At 55.0% G+C, this 12,897-nt stretch overlaps 1 protein-coding gene across 43 annotated transcripts in view; it reads right to left on the bottom strand.

The window, feature by feature from the left end:
- The window catches only part of COL13A1 (collagen type XIII alpha 1 chain), a 157,239-nt gene that overhangs the window by 58,529 nt on the left and 85,813 nt on the right, over nucleotides 1-12,897 (bottom strand). For 36 of the 43 annotated variants that reach the window (NM_001368882.1, XM_011539294.4, XM_047424601.1 and 33 more), the window contains 6 exons: nucleotides 12,286-12,312; nucleotides 11,176-11,202; nucleotides 6,038-6,064; nucleotides 5,915-5,941; nucleotides 5,040-5,066; nucleotides 1,854-1,919 (listed from right to left, as the gene is read on the bottom strand). In NM_001368882.1, coding sequence (NP_001355811.1) covers nucleotides 1,854-1,919; nucleotides 5,040-5,066; nucleotides 5,915-5,941; nucleotides 6,038-6,064; nucleotides 11,176-11,202; nucleotides 12,286-12,312 — 201 coding nt within the window. Of the gene's footprint in view, nucleotides 1-1,853; nucleotides 1,920-3,084; nucleotides 3,142-5,039; nucleotides 5,067-5,914; nucleotides 5,942-6,037; nucleotides 6,065-11,175; nucleotides 11,203-12,285; nucleotides 12,313-12,897 lie in introns of all 43 variants that reach the window. The other 7 variants (XM_047424600.1, NM_080801.4, XM_017015684.3 and 4 more) reach the window with 3 other exon arrangements.

The raw sequence follows: 12,897 nt of genomic DNA, 5'->3' as shown, positions 1-12,897 counted from the left end.
AATATTGGTTTATTGATAAGAAATGGACAAGCATTTTTATGTCCCATAGTGGCTGACAGCATAAAAAACCTGATTCTGGAGGCAGAATCTGCAGCAGGTAGCTCAGAGGTGCCTCGTCTTCTTTCTCTACTTTGGAAACCAGGTCAGGGTAGCACAGAAAGTTCTGGCTTCACCACCTCTTGCTCTTGAAAAGGGAGGCAGTAACATGCAGTGGCCTGGATGGAATCCTGCACCCCTCTTGAGTTCTTCCTTTGTAAAGCGGGGGATAGTGAGATGGCTGGTGTGGGGAATGCATGAGATAATTTGCATAGAATTCTCACAACAATGTCTGGAACCCAGTGAGGGCTCAAAAAAGAACAGCTGATACACCTAAGGCTGGGAGGTCGCTGTTGGGGCCCAGGAGAATGGCTATTCTGAGAGTGTGGACTCAGCTCTCCTGGAATGGGGTCCGGCACAGCCTGGGGTGGGTGACAGGGGTGGGCCTGGTACTTCTCTAAGCTGCCAGTGGGCCTCCTGAGTAGCCATGCTCTGGTGAGTGCTCGGGCACACGGAGGCTCTCGAGGATTTGGCCAGGCGTAATGAGATATGTGGCCTGCAGGCTTGGGTGGCACTGGAGTCACGTGTCCCTCTGTATTTTTAGCTGTTAATTGGAGGGATTTTTCAGCCTTGTTCAATCAGGTGCCTGAACATCTAGGCCCTTGGGCTCCTGACTCCTGAGTCAGGCCAGATTGTTGCTTGAGGCTCTGCGGTCAGGCTTGTAGAAAGCAGCTCAGAGCCCTGCCACTGCTAGCGTCCCTGTGCTGGGCGGGGTACCTGGTGCAGCATGAGAAAGGTGAGGAGCACAGGGGCAGCCATGGGCCAGCCAGCCTGGAATCAAGCTGTGATCTCTGAAGAGCAGAGGCCAGATGGCTTTGTTCTTTGTGATCTGCTCCTATCCAAGCCTCCTTGGGTTAGGAAGGCAGGAAGAAGAAGGAAGCACTTGCTCACAATGTGGGTTGTGGACTACATTCCCTCCACAAATTCCCTTGCTCCCCAAACTCAGGTTACGAGGGATCAGATGCTAAGCAGTCTGCATTTCTAAGTAGAGAGGAGGTAGGTCCAGCTGAGAGAGCCCTGGATGTGAGGTCTGAAGACCTGACTTCAATTTCAATTCTGCTTCAAGGCCAGTTTCAATTCTGCCTCTTACTGTTAGTATAACCTTGGGCAAATCAATTCACTTCTCTGAGCCTCAGTTACCTTATCTCCAAAATATGGATAATAGTAATAAAAACAGCTAACAATTATGTCTCTTAAACTGTGCCAGGAACTATTCCAAATGCTTTACATATCAACAACAACCCTGTGAAATAGACACTGTTATTATCCTTATTTTATAGATGAGAAGGCTGGGACACAGGTCAAGTAACTTGCCCCAAATGACACAGCTAGTAACAGGCAGAGAGACTGGGTACAAATCCCCACTCTGCAATGTACTGGCTGTGTGACCTTGGCAACTTGGTTAACCTCTCTGAGCCTCGATTTCCTCATCGTGAAATAAGGATGATCATGCCTAATTCATAAAACTGTTGGTGAATGAAATATAACCAGGCCTGTGAAATGGGTAACAGGGTGCCTGGCACACACTGACAGCTCTTGTTGATGGCTGTTTTGAGTAATCATTGTGTGGTGGTAGTTGTGGGTCTTCTGGGGCCTGTGTGTTGTGTATTTCCATGTCTATGGTATACGTGGGCCTATTTTTGTCTGATTTAATTTCACTGAATTAGAGAGAGGTTCTGGCTTTGTCTGCAGCCCCAGCAGGCTTGCCGGGCCCCTTGGGAAACCACACATGGTCTGGACAAACGGGAGGTGTCTACCTGGAACGTCCGCCTTTTTATGACCGGGGGTGGAGCCAGTCGCACTGAATTGAGGAGAGGCAGCAGCTGAGGAGAAAGATGAGTTGGAGGGCCAGAGGGCAAAGGCCAAAGATCACAGGTATTCAGATCGATGCCAAAAGTCACCAGGAGGGCAGGGCAACCAAGAGGGACCGGAGCAGAGGAAGAGAGAAGAGAGATTAGCGTGCACATGAGGAGTGGGAGGGAAGGAGTGGACAGGGCACTCTCACGGCTTGAGGATGCAGAGCGGAGCTTGCCCTTGGATGGCACAGCCGTCCCTTAGGAGGAGTTGTGGCCCTCAGTCCACACCCGGCCTCGGCCTCCAGGTCAGAGTTTGGGATGTTGACCAGCAGCCCCCGGAATGGGACAGTGGCTCCCACATGGCCAGGCTTGCCCTCCGTGGCCATGCTGGGCTGCAGAGGCTGCTGGACACACAGCCCAACGTTGCACTGCCAGCCCCACCCATCCCTGCTTGGGGGACAGAAGGGAGCCAACTCAGAGGCTCTGGCCAGGGAACCACCGGGCCCGTGAAATTGGTACTTGAAGTTGGGCTGGTGTGCGGCTGGTGGGTTCTTTTTTTGGTTGAGCAAGAAAGGCTGGTGTCAGCGCATCTGGGGAGGGTGGTCAAGGGCAGTGCCAAGCCCAGTTCCCCGGGGTTTGAGCTGGCTGAGGGTGAGGCCAGCGTGGGCACATGTTAAGTGCTGCTGAGGGCTCACCCTGGGGCTGCGGGGCCTGGAAGATAGAGGCTGGGCAAAGATATCTCCAGAAAGCTCAACCACGTTTTTGCGGGAGGCAACTTGCAGTCATATTATCTAATGTGATTTTCATTTCTGGAAATTGTTGCAGCTTCCAGTCCCTCTACCCATTGAAGCTGAGCAACCCGTGGCTTTAGGAGGCCATCAGAGCCCATGTGAAAACAAAGATGGCATATACTGTCATCAGCTGCTTGTTTTTGAAAGCGCTTAAATCACACGAGACTCCTGGGATGAGTGTTAAGAACCAGGAGCTGCTTGGGCTGCGAATGCGCCCAGCTGGGGATGGGGAGCCCAAGTGTGGCCTTTCCAGGTCACAGCTGCTGCCTTCTTGGACAGCAGTGGCACACAGAGCTCCACCCGCTCCCACTGCCGGGGCCTGGGGATGTGCAATGTTGGGCTGTATGTTCAGGAAGCCTCTCAGTGGAGAGGGGCCCGGAGACCTTCCAGAACCTACAAACCTTCAGGGCAATTATTTGGCTGGAGCGCAGAGCTGCTGGCATGCTGCTTAGGCACTCCTAGTTTGGGAGGGGATGGAGGTGGCAGAGACAGGGCGACAGGGACCGTGAGGGGAGAGCCCACAGACACCAGCTCCCCTGCTCCCCACCCCTCTCCTCTCCCTCCCTGGGGAAGCCACAGGCTGGAATGGAGGAGGGGCCACCTGGATTTCTTGGTGTCTTCCAGGCCCCGAGACCTGCCACCCCAACCCAACCCCTTGGAAAGCCAACAGATCTCTAGAAGGCCCCTGATTTTCTACCCTCTTCTAAATAAACTTGGTCTGCCCCTCAGCTGGAATCCCAAATCTATGCCCCCACCCCACGCTTGACATGTTCCCCAGAGTGCCACTGTCATGAGGTCAGGCTTCACTGCACCCTGTGGCCAGGGGTATTCTGCAGCCTTCTGTCACTGTGCTCTTCCCTTTCCTTATGTTGGGCTGAGGGGCAGAGAGCCCTGCCCCCACCCCACCCCAAGCACTTACTAAGAACGGGAGACACACTACCAAAGCGTCTGCAGTTGTGTTGTCTTTTGTGCTGGGGGATGTTGTCTTTCTTTCGGGTAACATAATAACCCCGTGAGCCCATCGTTTCAAATAAACACAGCTGACCTTCTATTATTGTATCAGGATCAGGCTGGCCGGAACAGCAGGGCCCCTGCATCCCTGGAGCACATGCCGCTGACAGGCTGTGGCTCTGACTGTGCTGCTGCTGGCCTGCCTTCCTCAGCCCGGGCCCAGCACCGCCGTAGCCTTAAACCCATCCCAGCCTCTCACGTACCAGGCTCACAGTGGTTCCCTGGCCCAGGAACCCAGACCTCAGGCCTGCCTTCCAGCTTCCTGAGGGTCTGGGCAGAGGCTAGGCCCTGCTAGCATTGCCCTCCTGACAGCCTTCTAGAGTCAAGCTGGCACTGAGCCTGGCTTATGTCTGTCTCCACTCCCAAAATCGCACCACCCGGACCTGCCTGGCAGGGGTGGGCAGCCAGGGAAGCTGAGCACCATGGGGCACATGACAGCGGGGAGAGATGCCTAAAGATGCTCATCTTCCATCCCTGCTGTCCAGGTCTGGGAGCAACGAGGCCAATCCACAAAATGAGGGGCATTTTTTTCTGGGTCCAGCTCACTGGGGCTCCTACTGGAGGAAGCTGTGCGTATCTTGCTCTCCCCTGTCCCAAGATCGACCCTGCTGCTGGGACACAAGTTTGAAGATTCCTAACAGGACAACAGCAGTCTTTTGGGTTCTGTGTCTTGGGGTGGAGCAAGGAAAAGGAAGGAGCAGGCGGGGGTGGGCAGAGGAACCATCTCAGCCTGAAATCCCCACCCTGCTTGGAGAAGGGTTTCCTCTGCTTTTAAAGAGGCCAAGGAGAGATTTTATCCTTGAATTGCTGCAGTCAGTCCCCGATTATCTCCCATCATCGAGGTTTGGATGTGAAACACCATCATCTGATACAGTGACTAATAGAAAAGTCCCACTGTTTTGGCCACGGCTAGGCTGCCAGACACCACCCCCCTACCGCCACACACACGCACACACATGCTTGTTGGGTGGGGAGTCAAACAGACTCACACAAGTCACGCTGCCACAGGGGGCCATGTGCAGAGCAGCCACAGAGCTCCAGACACACAGCAGGAGACTCCAACATACCGAGTCAGACGTACGTACAAAGGGGCGGATGTACAGACACGCACGGGTGATGAGCGGCTCCATATAGCACATGGCTGGAGAGACACATCAGCTGTTCCCACCAGACGCACCACCATCCCAAGCTCCCCTCTCTGACTGCTGAGTGCAGAGGGCAGTGGGTGCTCCTGCTCCCCCATGATCTGTTAGTAACTGGAGACCCCAGGGAGATGAGGCTGAGCTGGGCGCTGTGCCCCAGGGATGGATCAAAGTGCCCTGCTAAATTTTAGGGGTTCACTTACCCGGTGTGGGTACTCTCCACACTGACCCTGGGAAGGAGAGGGAAGGGAAAGGTGGTGTTAGGCACTTGTTGGGGGTACCTGTTTCTCAGGGCACCCCCAGCACTTCAGGACATGCCACACATGTCACCGCTCACCAGCCCTCCTGCTCTAGTTTTGGTCTGAGCCCTCTGAGGCAGAAGAACTAAGTCCCTCCCTTGCCCCTGGCTAGCAGCAGGGAAGAAACTTCCATGGCCTGCCTGGAAGTGGCCCCAGGGAGCCTAGGGGTGGGGCTTCGCCTTATACCACTTGCCATAATGGCAGAGTCGGGAGTTATGCCCCATGCCTGGCGAAAGGTTGACCCTCTAGGCAGGCCCACCAGACAGCCCTGAACAGGAGCCACCGGATGGGAGCAGCCGGCACCATGGGGGTCCCAAGCCACCTTCTCTGAGCTGGGAGCGCCAGGCCCCTGTACCAGCGGCCCAAGGGCAAGCACAGCAGTGTCTCTATCAGAAATTCAACAAGACAGAGAGGGCAGGAGGCCAGGCCAGTGGTTTACAGGTTGATGCCTCTCAGAATCCCAGAGGCTCATGGAGGTGTCAGGGAACACCATGGAGTGACAGCTGGGAGGGGCCCAGAAAGAGGCTGAAGAGGGCCAGGCTCCAGGAGGACCCCTGGAAAGGATGTCACCCGGACCAGCCTCCAGGAGGACCCCTCACTCCAAGAAAAGGATGTCCCCTGGAGCGGTGTCAACCGAATCTATTATGCGGCACCTCGGGGGCTTTCCTGGTTCTGTCAATTAAAACTGAAGTTTGAAAATAACCATAATTGACCCCTTTCTACCAACTGGGAGGCCATTTCCTGAGATGGAGACTCTAGGAAACCTCCACTGCTCTTACCTTTTCTCCTTTTTGTCCCTGGGGTCCCTACAAAGAGACGGAGATGAGAGAGTTAGAAACCAAAGCTAAGGTCACAGCCACCGGAAGCTTCTCTGCTGGGAAATAGATGGATGAGGTACCAACCGGCTGTCCTGGGGGACCCGTCAGACCCTGTGGGAAGCAAACACACACAGGTCAGTGGGCAGACAGAAGACAGGCAATCAGGGACACCTGCCTGGGTGGGGATTGGGGCTGAATCCCGAAGGCTGGGCTCTACCAGCCATGGCCAGGTCTTCCCATGCCCACCACATTCAAGATGTCTTATTCACAGAGTCTCAGCTGCTTCACCCCCCAGTGGGCAGGACTAGGGCTGTGATGAAGAACAGATGGCATCTTTCATCCATTCCTCCAACCACCAGCATCTCATGGGCCAGCTATGGAGGGGCTCTACCTAGAGGTCAGGGAGTTTTCTGCTCCATGGGACCCCCTACCTCACATGCATCAAGCCTCTGGGAGACACTAGCACATTCCACCTCCTGCCTCCCAGGCTGCAGTGAAGCCCACTGAACCAGAAGAACTTCTGGCCTGGGGGTGCTGGGCCGGTGCCTCAGACAATGGGGGCCTTAGAGAAACCTTCAGCAAAAGAGAGAAAGCAGGAAGTTGGCAACTGAAGCCATGTTCTGGACTTCTCCAAGGAATATGAGGGGTCTTGAAGTTTCCTTCAAGGTTGTCTTGTCCATGCAGGGCTAGGAAAGGAGCTGGGGTTGGGAGGGACCCTTGCTGTCTGGGGAGGGCCCCGCATGCTCTGGCTCTCTTAGGAGGCTGCACCAAGGCTGGTGGAGGGAAGAGGAGAAAACAAATGCCTTATGGGCTGAGGATCCACCCTGAGGCTGGCTCTTCAGGTATGTGTCTGTGAGGGAGATGCTTGTGTCCACTCCAGCTCCCGAGTGAGGTGACAGAGACAAGGCCCCATGGCTCAGTGAAAGGTGGCACTGGGACAGGAGCCCAGGTTTGTCTGACGGCCAAGGTCCAGCTGTTTCCACTGCCAAATGCTCAGAACTGGGCCAGACCTTGGGAGTCAGGGCTTCTAGACTTGGCTAGAGCCATAAGCAGGTCCCTTTGAGCCACCAGTCTCTTTGGGGCCTGAAGCACTGCAGATCCCCAAGGGTGGGTCCATCTGGGAGGTGGCCGCAGCATGCTGTGATGTGCCAGAGCCTTGTTCCTGCTCCCCGCTTGCCAACAGGGCCACCTCCAAACTGGGAAACTCCCAAGAGCATCACTGGAAGGGAGAAGTGGCCTTTGGGACCATCCATGTGGCACTCCCAGCCCATGTGGCTGGCCAAGTGTTTATTGGTCTTTTATTGTTTTATTGAGACAGGGTCTCGCTCTGTTGTCCAGAATGGAGTACAGTGGTGTGATCTCCGCTCACTGCAGCCTCTGCCTCCTGGGTTCAGGCAGTCCTCCCACCTCTGCCTCACAAATAGCTAGGTCTACAGGCACACACTACCGTGCTTGGCTAACTCTTGCATTTTTTTGTAGAGACAGGGTTTTGCCATGTTGCCCAGGCTGCTCTCAAACTCCCAGACTCAAGCAATCTGCCCGTGCTGGCCTCCCAGAGTTCTGGGATTACAGGTGTGAGCCACCGCGCTCGGCCTGGCAGAGTGCTTAGAATGAAGTTCTGCAGCACATGATTCATCCGGCAGGGAACCCGGGCCCAGACCACAGGTGACCAGGTCATCCTCTGTCAGGACAGAGATATAAGTGTGATGGGGGAGGGGCAGGCGGAGTTTCAGGACTGCAGAGACTTGGACAATTGAAACCAGACATCCCAAACGGTGGCCCAGGGGACAATCGTGGTCTTCATAGGGATTTTGTTTGTCCCACATGGTTTTATTTCAACTAGTTGCCAATACTTAAGAGAGCAAGCAGAGTGCAAATAAAAATTTGGATTTCAAGTTTCTCTTAATTATGTCGAGGTCCAACAACACATGGTACCAGTTATCTTCAGCCAGGCAGCACCTGCCCCTTTAAGGGCCATGGCCACCGGTGATGTGCTTAGCACTTGCCAGCAGGCCTGTGCTAACCGCCACTGAGGCATAGCTAAGGCGCCTGTCTGCTTCTCGGGTGCCAAGCATGTTCTGAGTGCCTGGCGCTCCTCACTCGACAGCCCTGTGGGTGGTGGGTGAGATTTGGACTCAGTCCAGGCCTTGCTTTACAGCCCTTATGTCATTCCTGAGTCTCAGACCCCCAATCTTGTCCACCCCCCAACTACACTATTATACAACTGTGTCCTCCCAACACTTCAACACCTTATTTCAGGTTCTTGGGAATAATGTGAAGTGGGGGGGTGGGGCAGAGGTGACTCCCTTTTGAGAGGTGAGGACACAGGTTAAACAATGAGGGTGAGTGCCAGTGCCCCAGTGGGACGCCAGTGGAGGGGACAGCATCTGGGGCAGGAGACAGACAGATGAAGAGCAGGGCAAGGTAATGATGCTGGACAGCGGTGGGCAACTAACAGCTCGGGTACCCATGCCAAGCCAAACAGGAATCAGATGCTCTGTGGCCTGCTGGATTTGATGAGGCAGACAGGGGATCTATCCCACTGATGTGGGCTCACGAGAGAGGGGGTGGGCCTGCCTTTTCTGTTGAGTTAGCTCTGATCCCTGGACAGGCGGTCAAGTGTGTGGGGCAGAGGGACGGTGTGGCAGAATGAGGGCAGGAAAAGCGGCCCCATGGAAGGGTCCCTTTCCTCCAGGACAAAGTGCTGGCTGCTGAGAGGAGGTGTGATCGAGGGGTAAGACTCCACTGCATGGGTCTGAATCTCAGCTGTTGTATTTAGGAGCTTTGTGGCCTCAGGCAATGTACTTAGCCACTCTGTGCCTCAATTTCCCCTCTCATGAAGTGGGGATGATAAGCTGTTATGAGGATGACAGAGTGCTGCCTAGAGGATGACCATTATTATTACTTCTGGGGGGCCATGGGCTGCCTTACGGTAGCATAAGGCTGCCAGAGAGGGAAAGAAGCTCAGGCTGAAGGGATGAGCACCCCAAGCCCTTTATGCCTCTATAACAATGTGGCATGGCAGTTTCTTCCTGCCTCGGTCTCCACTACTCCATGCATGTGCACAGCATGCCTGGGAATGGGGTAGGGGCGGGGGGAAATGCATTTGCAGCGGAGGCAGCTGTGATGGAGAGGAAACCTTGCTGGGGAACCTGGATTCCAGCGCCAGCTCTTCTGCCACTGCCTCCAGGGCCTTCTGCCTCCAGTGCCCTTCCTCCGGTTCTGCAGACATGTCAAGGATTTTCCTACCTCAGGACCTTTGCACGTGCTATTCTCCCATGTCCAGAAAGCACATTCCCATCCCCCTTTCTATTTTCTCTCGGTTGAATGCTCATTCTTCAGGCACTAGTTCAAAAGTCTCTTTCTCAGAAAAGCCGTCTCCGACCTTTGGCCTGGGTGAGGTTTTTGTTATACCAAGATTTCCAGGGCACTAAGGATTATCTTTTTATAGCACTCATTGCAAAGCAACTTGTTAGTTATGTGAGTGATCATTTAAAAGGATGTCTCCCTACTAGACTGTGAGCTACAGATGGCAAGAACAGTCTCTCTCTTGCTCCCGTCTGTATCCCTAGCACCTGAAGCAGTGCCCAGCACATTTTAGATACTCCATAAAAAATGCATTAAAAGAAGGAAGGTGGCAGGAAGGCTGACAAAGAGTGAGGGAAACAGAAAGGGAGGAAGGTAATAAAACCTTAATAAAAAAAGGGAGGGAAGGAATTTGAGAACTGTGTTTCGATCTTGTTTTGGACATTCAGCTGTGTGACTTCAGGCAAGTTAGTTAGACTCTCTGAGCCTTGGTTTCCACACCTGTCAAAGGGGATTCTAGCAAGACCTGGAGCACAGAGTTACGCTGAGGATTGAGACAGTCATGCAAAGTGCTTAGCCCAGTGCCAACCACGTGGCAAACCCTCAATAAATATTAGTTGGATCTGAGTCAAGAGGACAGGTTGGGGCCCAGAGGGAGCTGGCAAGTTAGGAAGAGCTAGGCTGGAGCCCAGGCCTTGCAGCCAACACTCCACCATCCCCCTTTCCACCCACATGATTACCTGCCTCCCTCCATGCCCTGGCAGTGCCCCAGTCATGGGTCAAGGGTTGTCTTCACACCAGCGCTTGGAGCAAGGCATGAGCCAGGCCCCCACTGAACAGGGACAGGGGGAGCCTGCTGCGTTGCTTTCACCACCCTGCACAAATTCCTGGCCCACCAACCTGTGGAGCAGGAGGTGGTCCCTCACAGTAGGTGCGACCTGGATCTTAGGAGGCAGAAATGCACCCCAGCCCAGGGCTGTTTTGTTTGTCTGTCTGTTTGTTTGTTTTTTTAAAGCAGGGATTTATTGAAAACCAAAATACACTCCACAGTGTGGGAGCAGGGGCCCATTAGCTCTTAATGGCCCATCAGTCCCTGCTGAGATCTGGCCCACCGTGAGAGTGCGCAGCCCCTCATTCCCTTCTGGAAGGGATGGTCTGTGGAGACAGAAAATTTATTTCCAAAGCTCTGCAGAAGGTAGGGGCCAGGAGAAAGCTGGGCCAAATGTTGTCTCTCCACCTTTTTGGGGCCTGAGGCACTCCAGGTACCCTGGGCAGATCCATCTGGGTGGTGGCCGCGGGATGCTGTGACATGGAAGAGAAGACCTTGCTCCTGCTCCTGACTTGCCAAGTGGCCCAACCTCCAAACAGAAACTCCCAGGAAGGGAGAGGGGAAGGGGCCTTTGGGATGATGCATGTGGCACCCCCAGCTGAGATGATCCACTGGGCACCACCAGCCCCAGTGGGGCAGGAACCCCTGGAGTCCTGGGGTGGCTCAGGGCACAGCCAGCACCCGGAAGGGGTTATGAGGCCTTGAGGGACCTCAGGCTCAGTAGAAATGGTGTCTCCTAGAGAAAGTGTCCCCTGTGAGTGCAGATGAAACCTTGTCTCCCAAGGCCCATGCGAGTGTGGTTTGAGAGCAGTAAGCTGGACACCGACCTCTGTGTGCTACCAGCCAGGTGTGCACTCTCTCTGGATCTCCCATCCTCATGCTTCAGATGGAGAAGCCCCTGCCCATTTCTCCTCCCTGCATATTGATGTGAGGATCCAGGGCATGTGGTTTACACAGCTGGGGAGTGACCAGCATGGACAGCCATTCCTGTTGTCCCTGTGGGACCCACTTTGCAGTGCTTGGCTGTGCCTGTGAGGCTGGGCCAACCCCCACCCATCTCGGGAAGGCAGGAAAGCTGGGCTCTTACCATGTCGCCCTTTGGTCCTGGGTGGCCCTGGAAGGAGAAGAGGGTGAGTACCAGGTGCACTGTTCGCAGCCCAGAAGTTCCACCCTCTGTCCTTCATGCTCCTCCCTGCCCCCTGTGCTCCTCCCTGCCCCCCGTGCTCCTCCCTGTCCCCTGTGCTCCATCTGCACCTTCTGGCTTGTGCACTCCTTCACCCAGTCCCTAAGGCAAGGTCATTTGCTCACTGCCCCTCGCTGGGCCTCACTAGCAGCTGCCTGCCCTTCAGAGAGCAGGGGTGGGGGTAGTCTCCCTAGACCCCAACGCTCATGCCATTCACATGTCCAGGGTAGCTTCGGGGGATGCCTGGTCCCGTGACATGAGTGGAAATGATTGCTGGCACCCCTGGGCTGCACTTAGCTCGCTGGCCTGCAGTTGGGGAGTAACTGGGTGGTGCTAGGGTCCCTCAACTGAGAGAGGCGAGTGGCGGGGCCAGGCATGGCTGTGAGTGGGGCTGCATTCCGTCCACCCTGAGGGCTTTGGATGGGTCATGCTCCCTTCCAGCTGACTTGCTCCTAGGACTGGGGAGGGGACTCCTTTCTCCCATGAACATTTGTGTCAGGGAACCAAGTCCAAAGGATTGAAATGAACGAAGAGAGGAGCTATGGTGGGAAGCAGTCTCCACGTGGACTTGAGCACACGTGTGGGGTCTCAATCGGGGAGGGAGACCCTGACCTCGAGGACAGGGCCATGGGAGACACAGGTGCTGGGGAGCAGGGGCAAGCGTGTGCATGAGTGGCCAGGCTCTTCAGACCAGCTATTTGACCTCCGTACCCTCCACTCTCCTCACTGCCTCCTGATCTCACCCCCACCCCACCCAGAATCACCCATTCTAGGGATGGCTCTCGCCTGGACTTCGAAAGCCAAGCTCAGCAGCTGGGGACCTGTGCCCTGGGGAAGGCCACTGGGGTCAGGGGTGACTCAAATGGCCCCCTCCACTTCCCACTAGTGACAACCTTCAGCCCCAGGACTTTTCTTTCTAAGTAAAGCATTTTCCAAGGATTCAATATCTTGCAGAATGACCAAGAGATCCAGGATCACTGACCTGCAGTGAGGGGAGAGAGCGGGTCCACTTACCGGTTTGCCGTCCAGCCCAATGGGACCCTGAAACCAGAAAGGCCAGATGTAAAGACTGAGCATCACAGGACTCCTGCCAAAGAGGCTGCCTGGGCAGTGGGGAAAAGCACAGATTCTGGATTCTGATAAGTTGGAGCTCAAGGCCCTGCTTGACCACGTACTTGTTAATGTGACTATGGGTAAGCCTAGGCCTCAACTTCCCATCCTGAAATGGGGTTGAGAATAATAGAATGTTGGATGCCAGGTGCACAGCGCAAGAGAGAACCCAATGGGTGGCCTCCCCATTAATGTCAAGGACCTCACCCTTGTCCTGAGTGCAGAGTAGGTGGTGTGTTCCTAGAAATCAGGGGCTGGCCTGCATTGAGGTTGGGAGAAAGGGGGAACTGCTCCCTCTGCTCTGCCTGTCAGAACCTGCCTTAGGCCCCATAAGCAGAGGTCAAGGACACCCAGATGGCCACCCCTCTGCCTCCCCCTCGCTGGATCTCCTCTCAAAGCTCAGGCACAGGCTGAGCTGCAGGGTGTTCTCCCACAGGGCATCGTCCATTCTATATTCCCAGGTCAATGCTGGGGTTTATCAGCCTGTGACTTCACTCACCTGGGGCCTGTCCTGCT

The sequence above is a fragment of the Homo sapiens genome, chromosome 10 (assembly GCF_000001405.40).
Source record: "Homo sapiens chromosome 10, GRCh38.p14 Primary Assembly".
Taxonomy (NCBI): Eukaryota; Metazoa; Chordata; class Mammalia; order Primates; family Hominidae; genus Homo; species Homo sapiens.
Note: the sequence above shows the minus strand (reverse complement) of the source record. Positions and strands in the feature narration are given on the sequence as shown.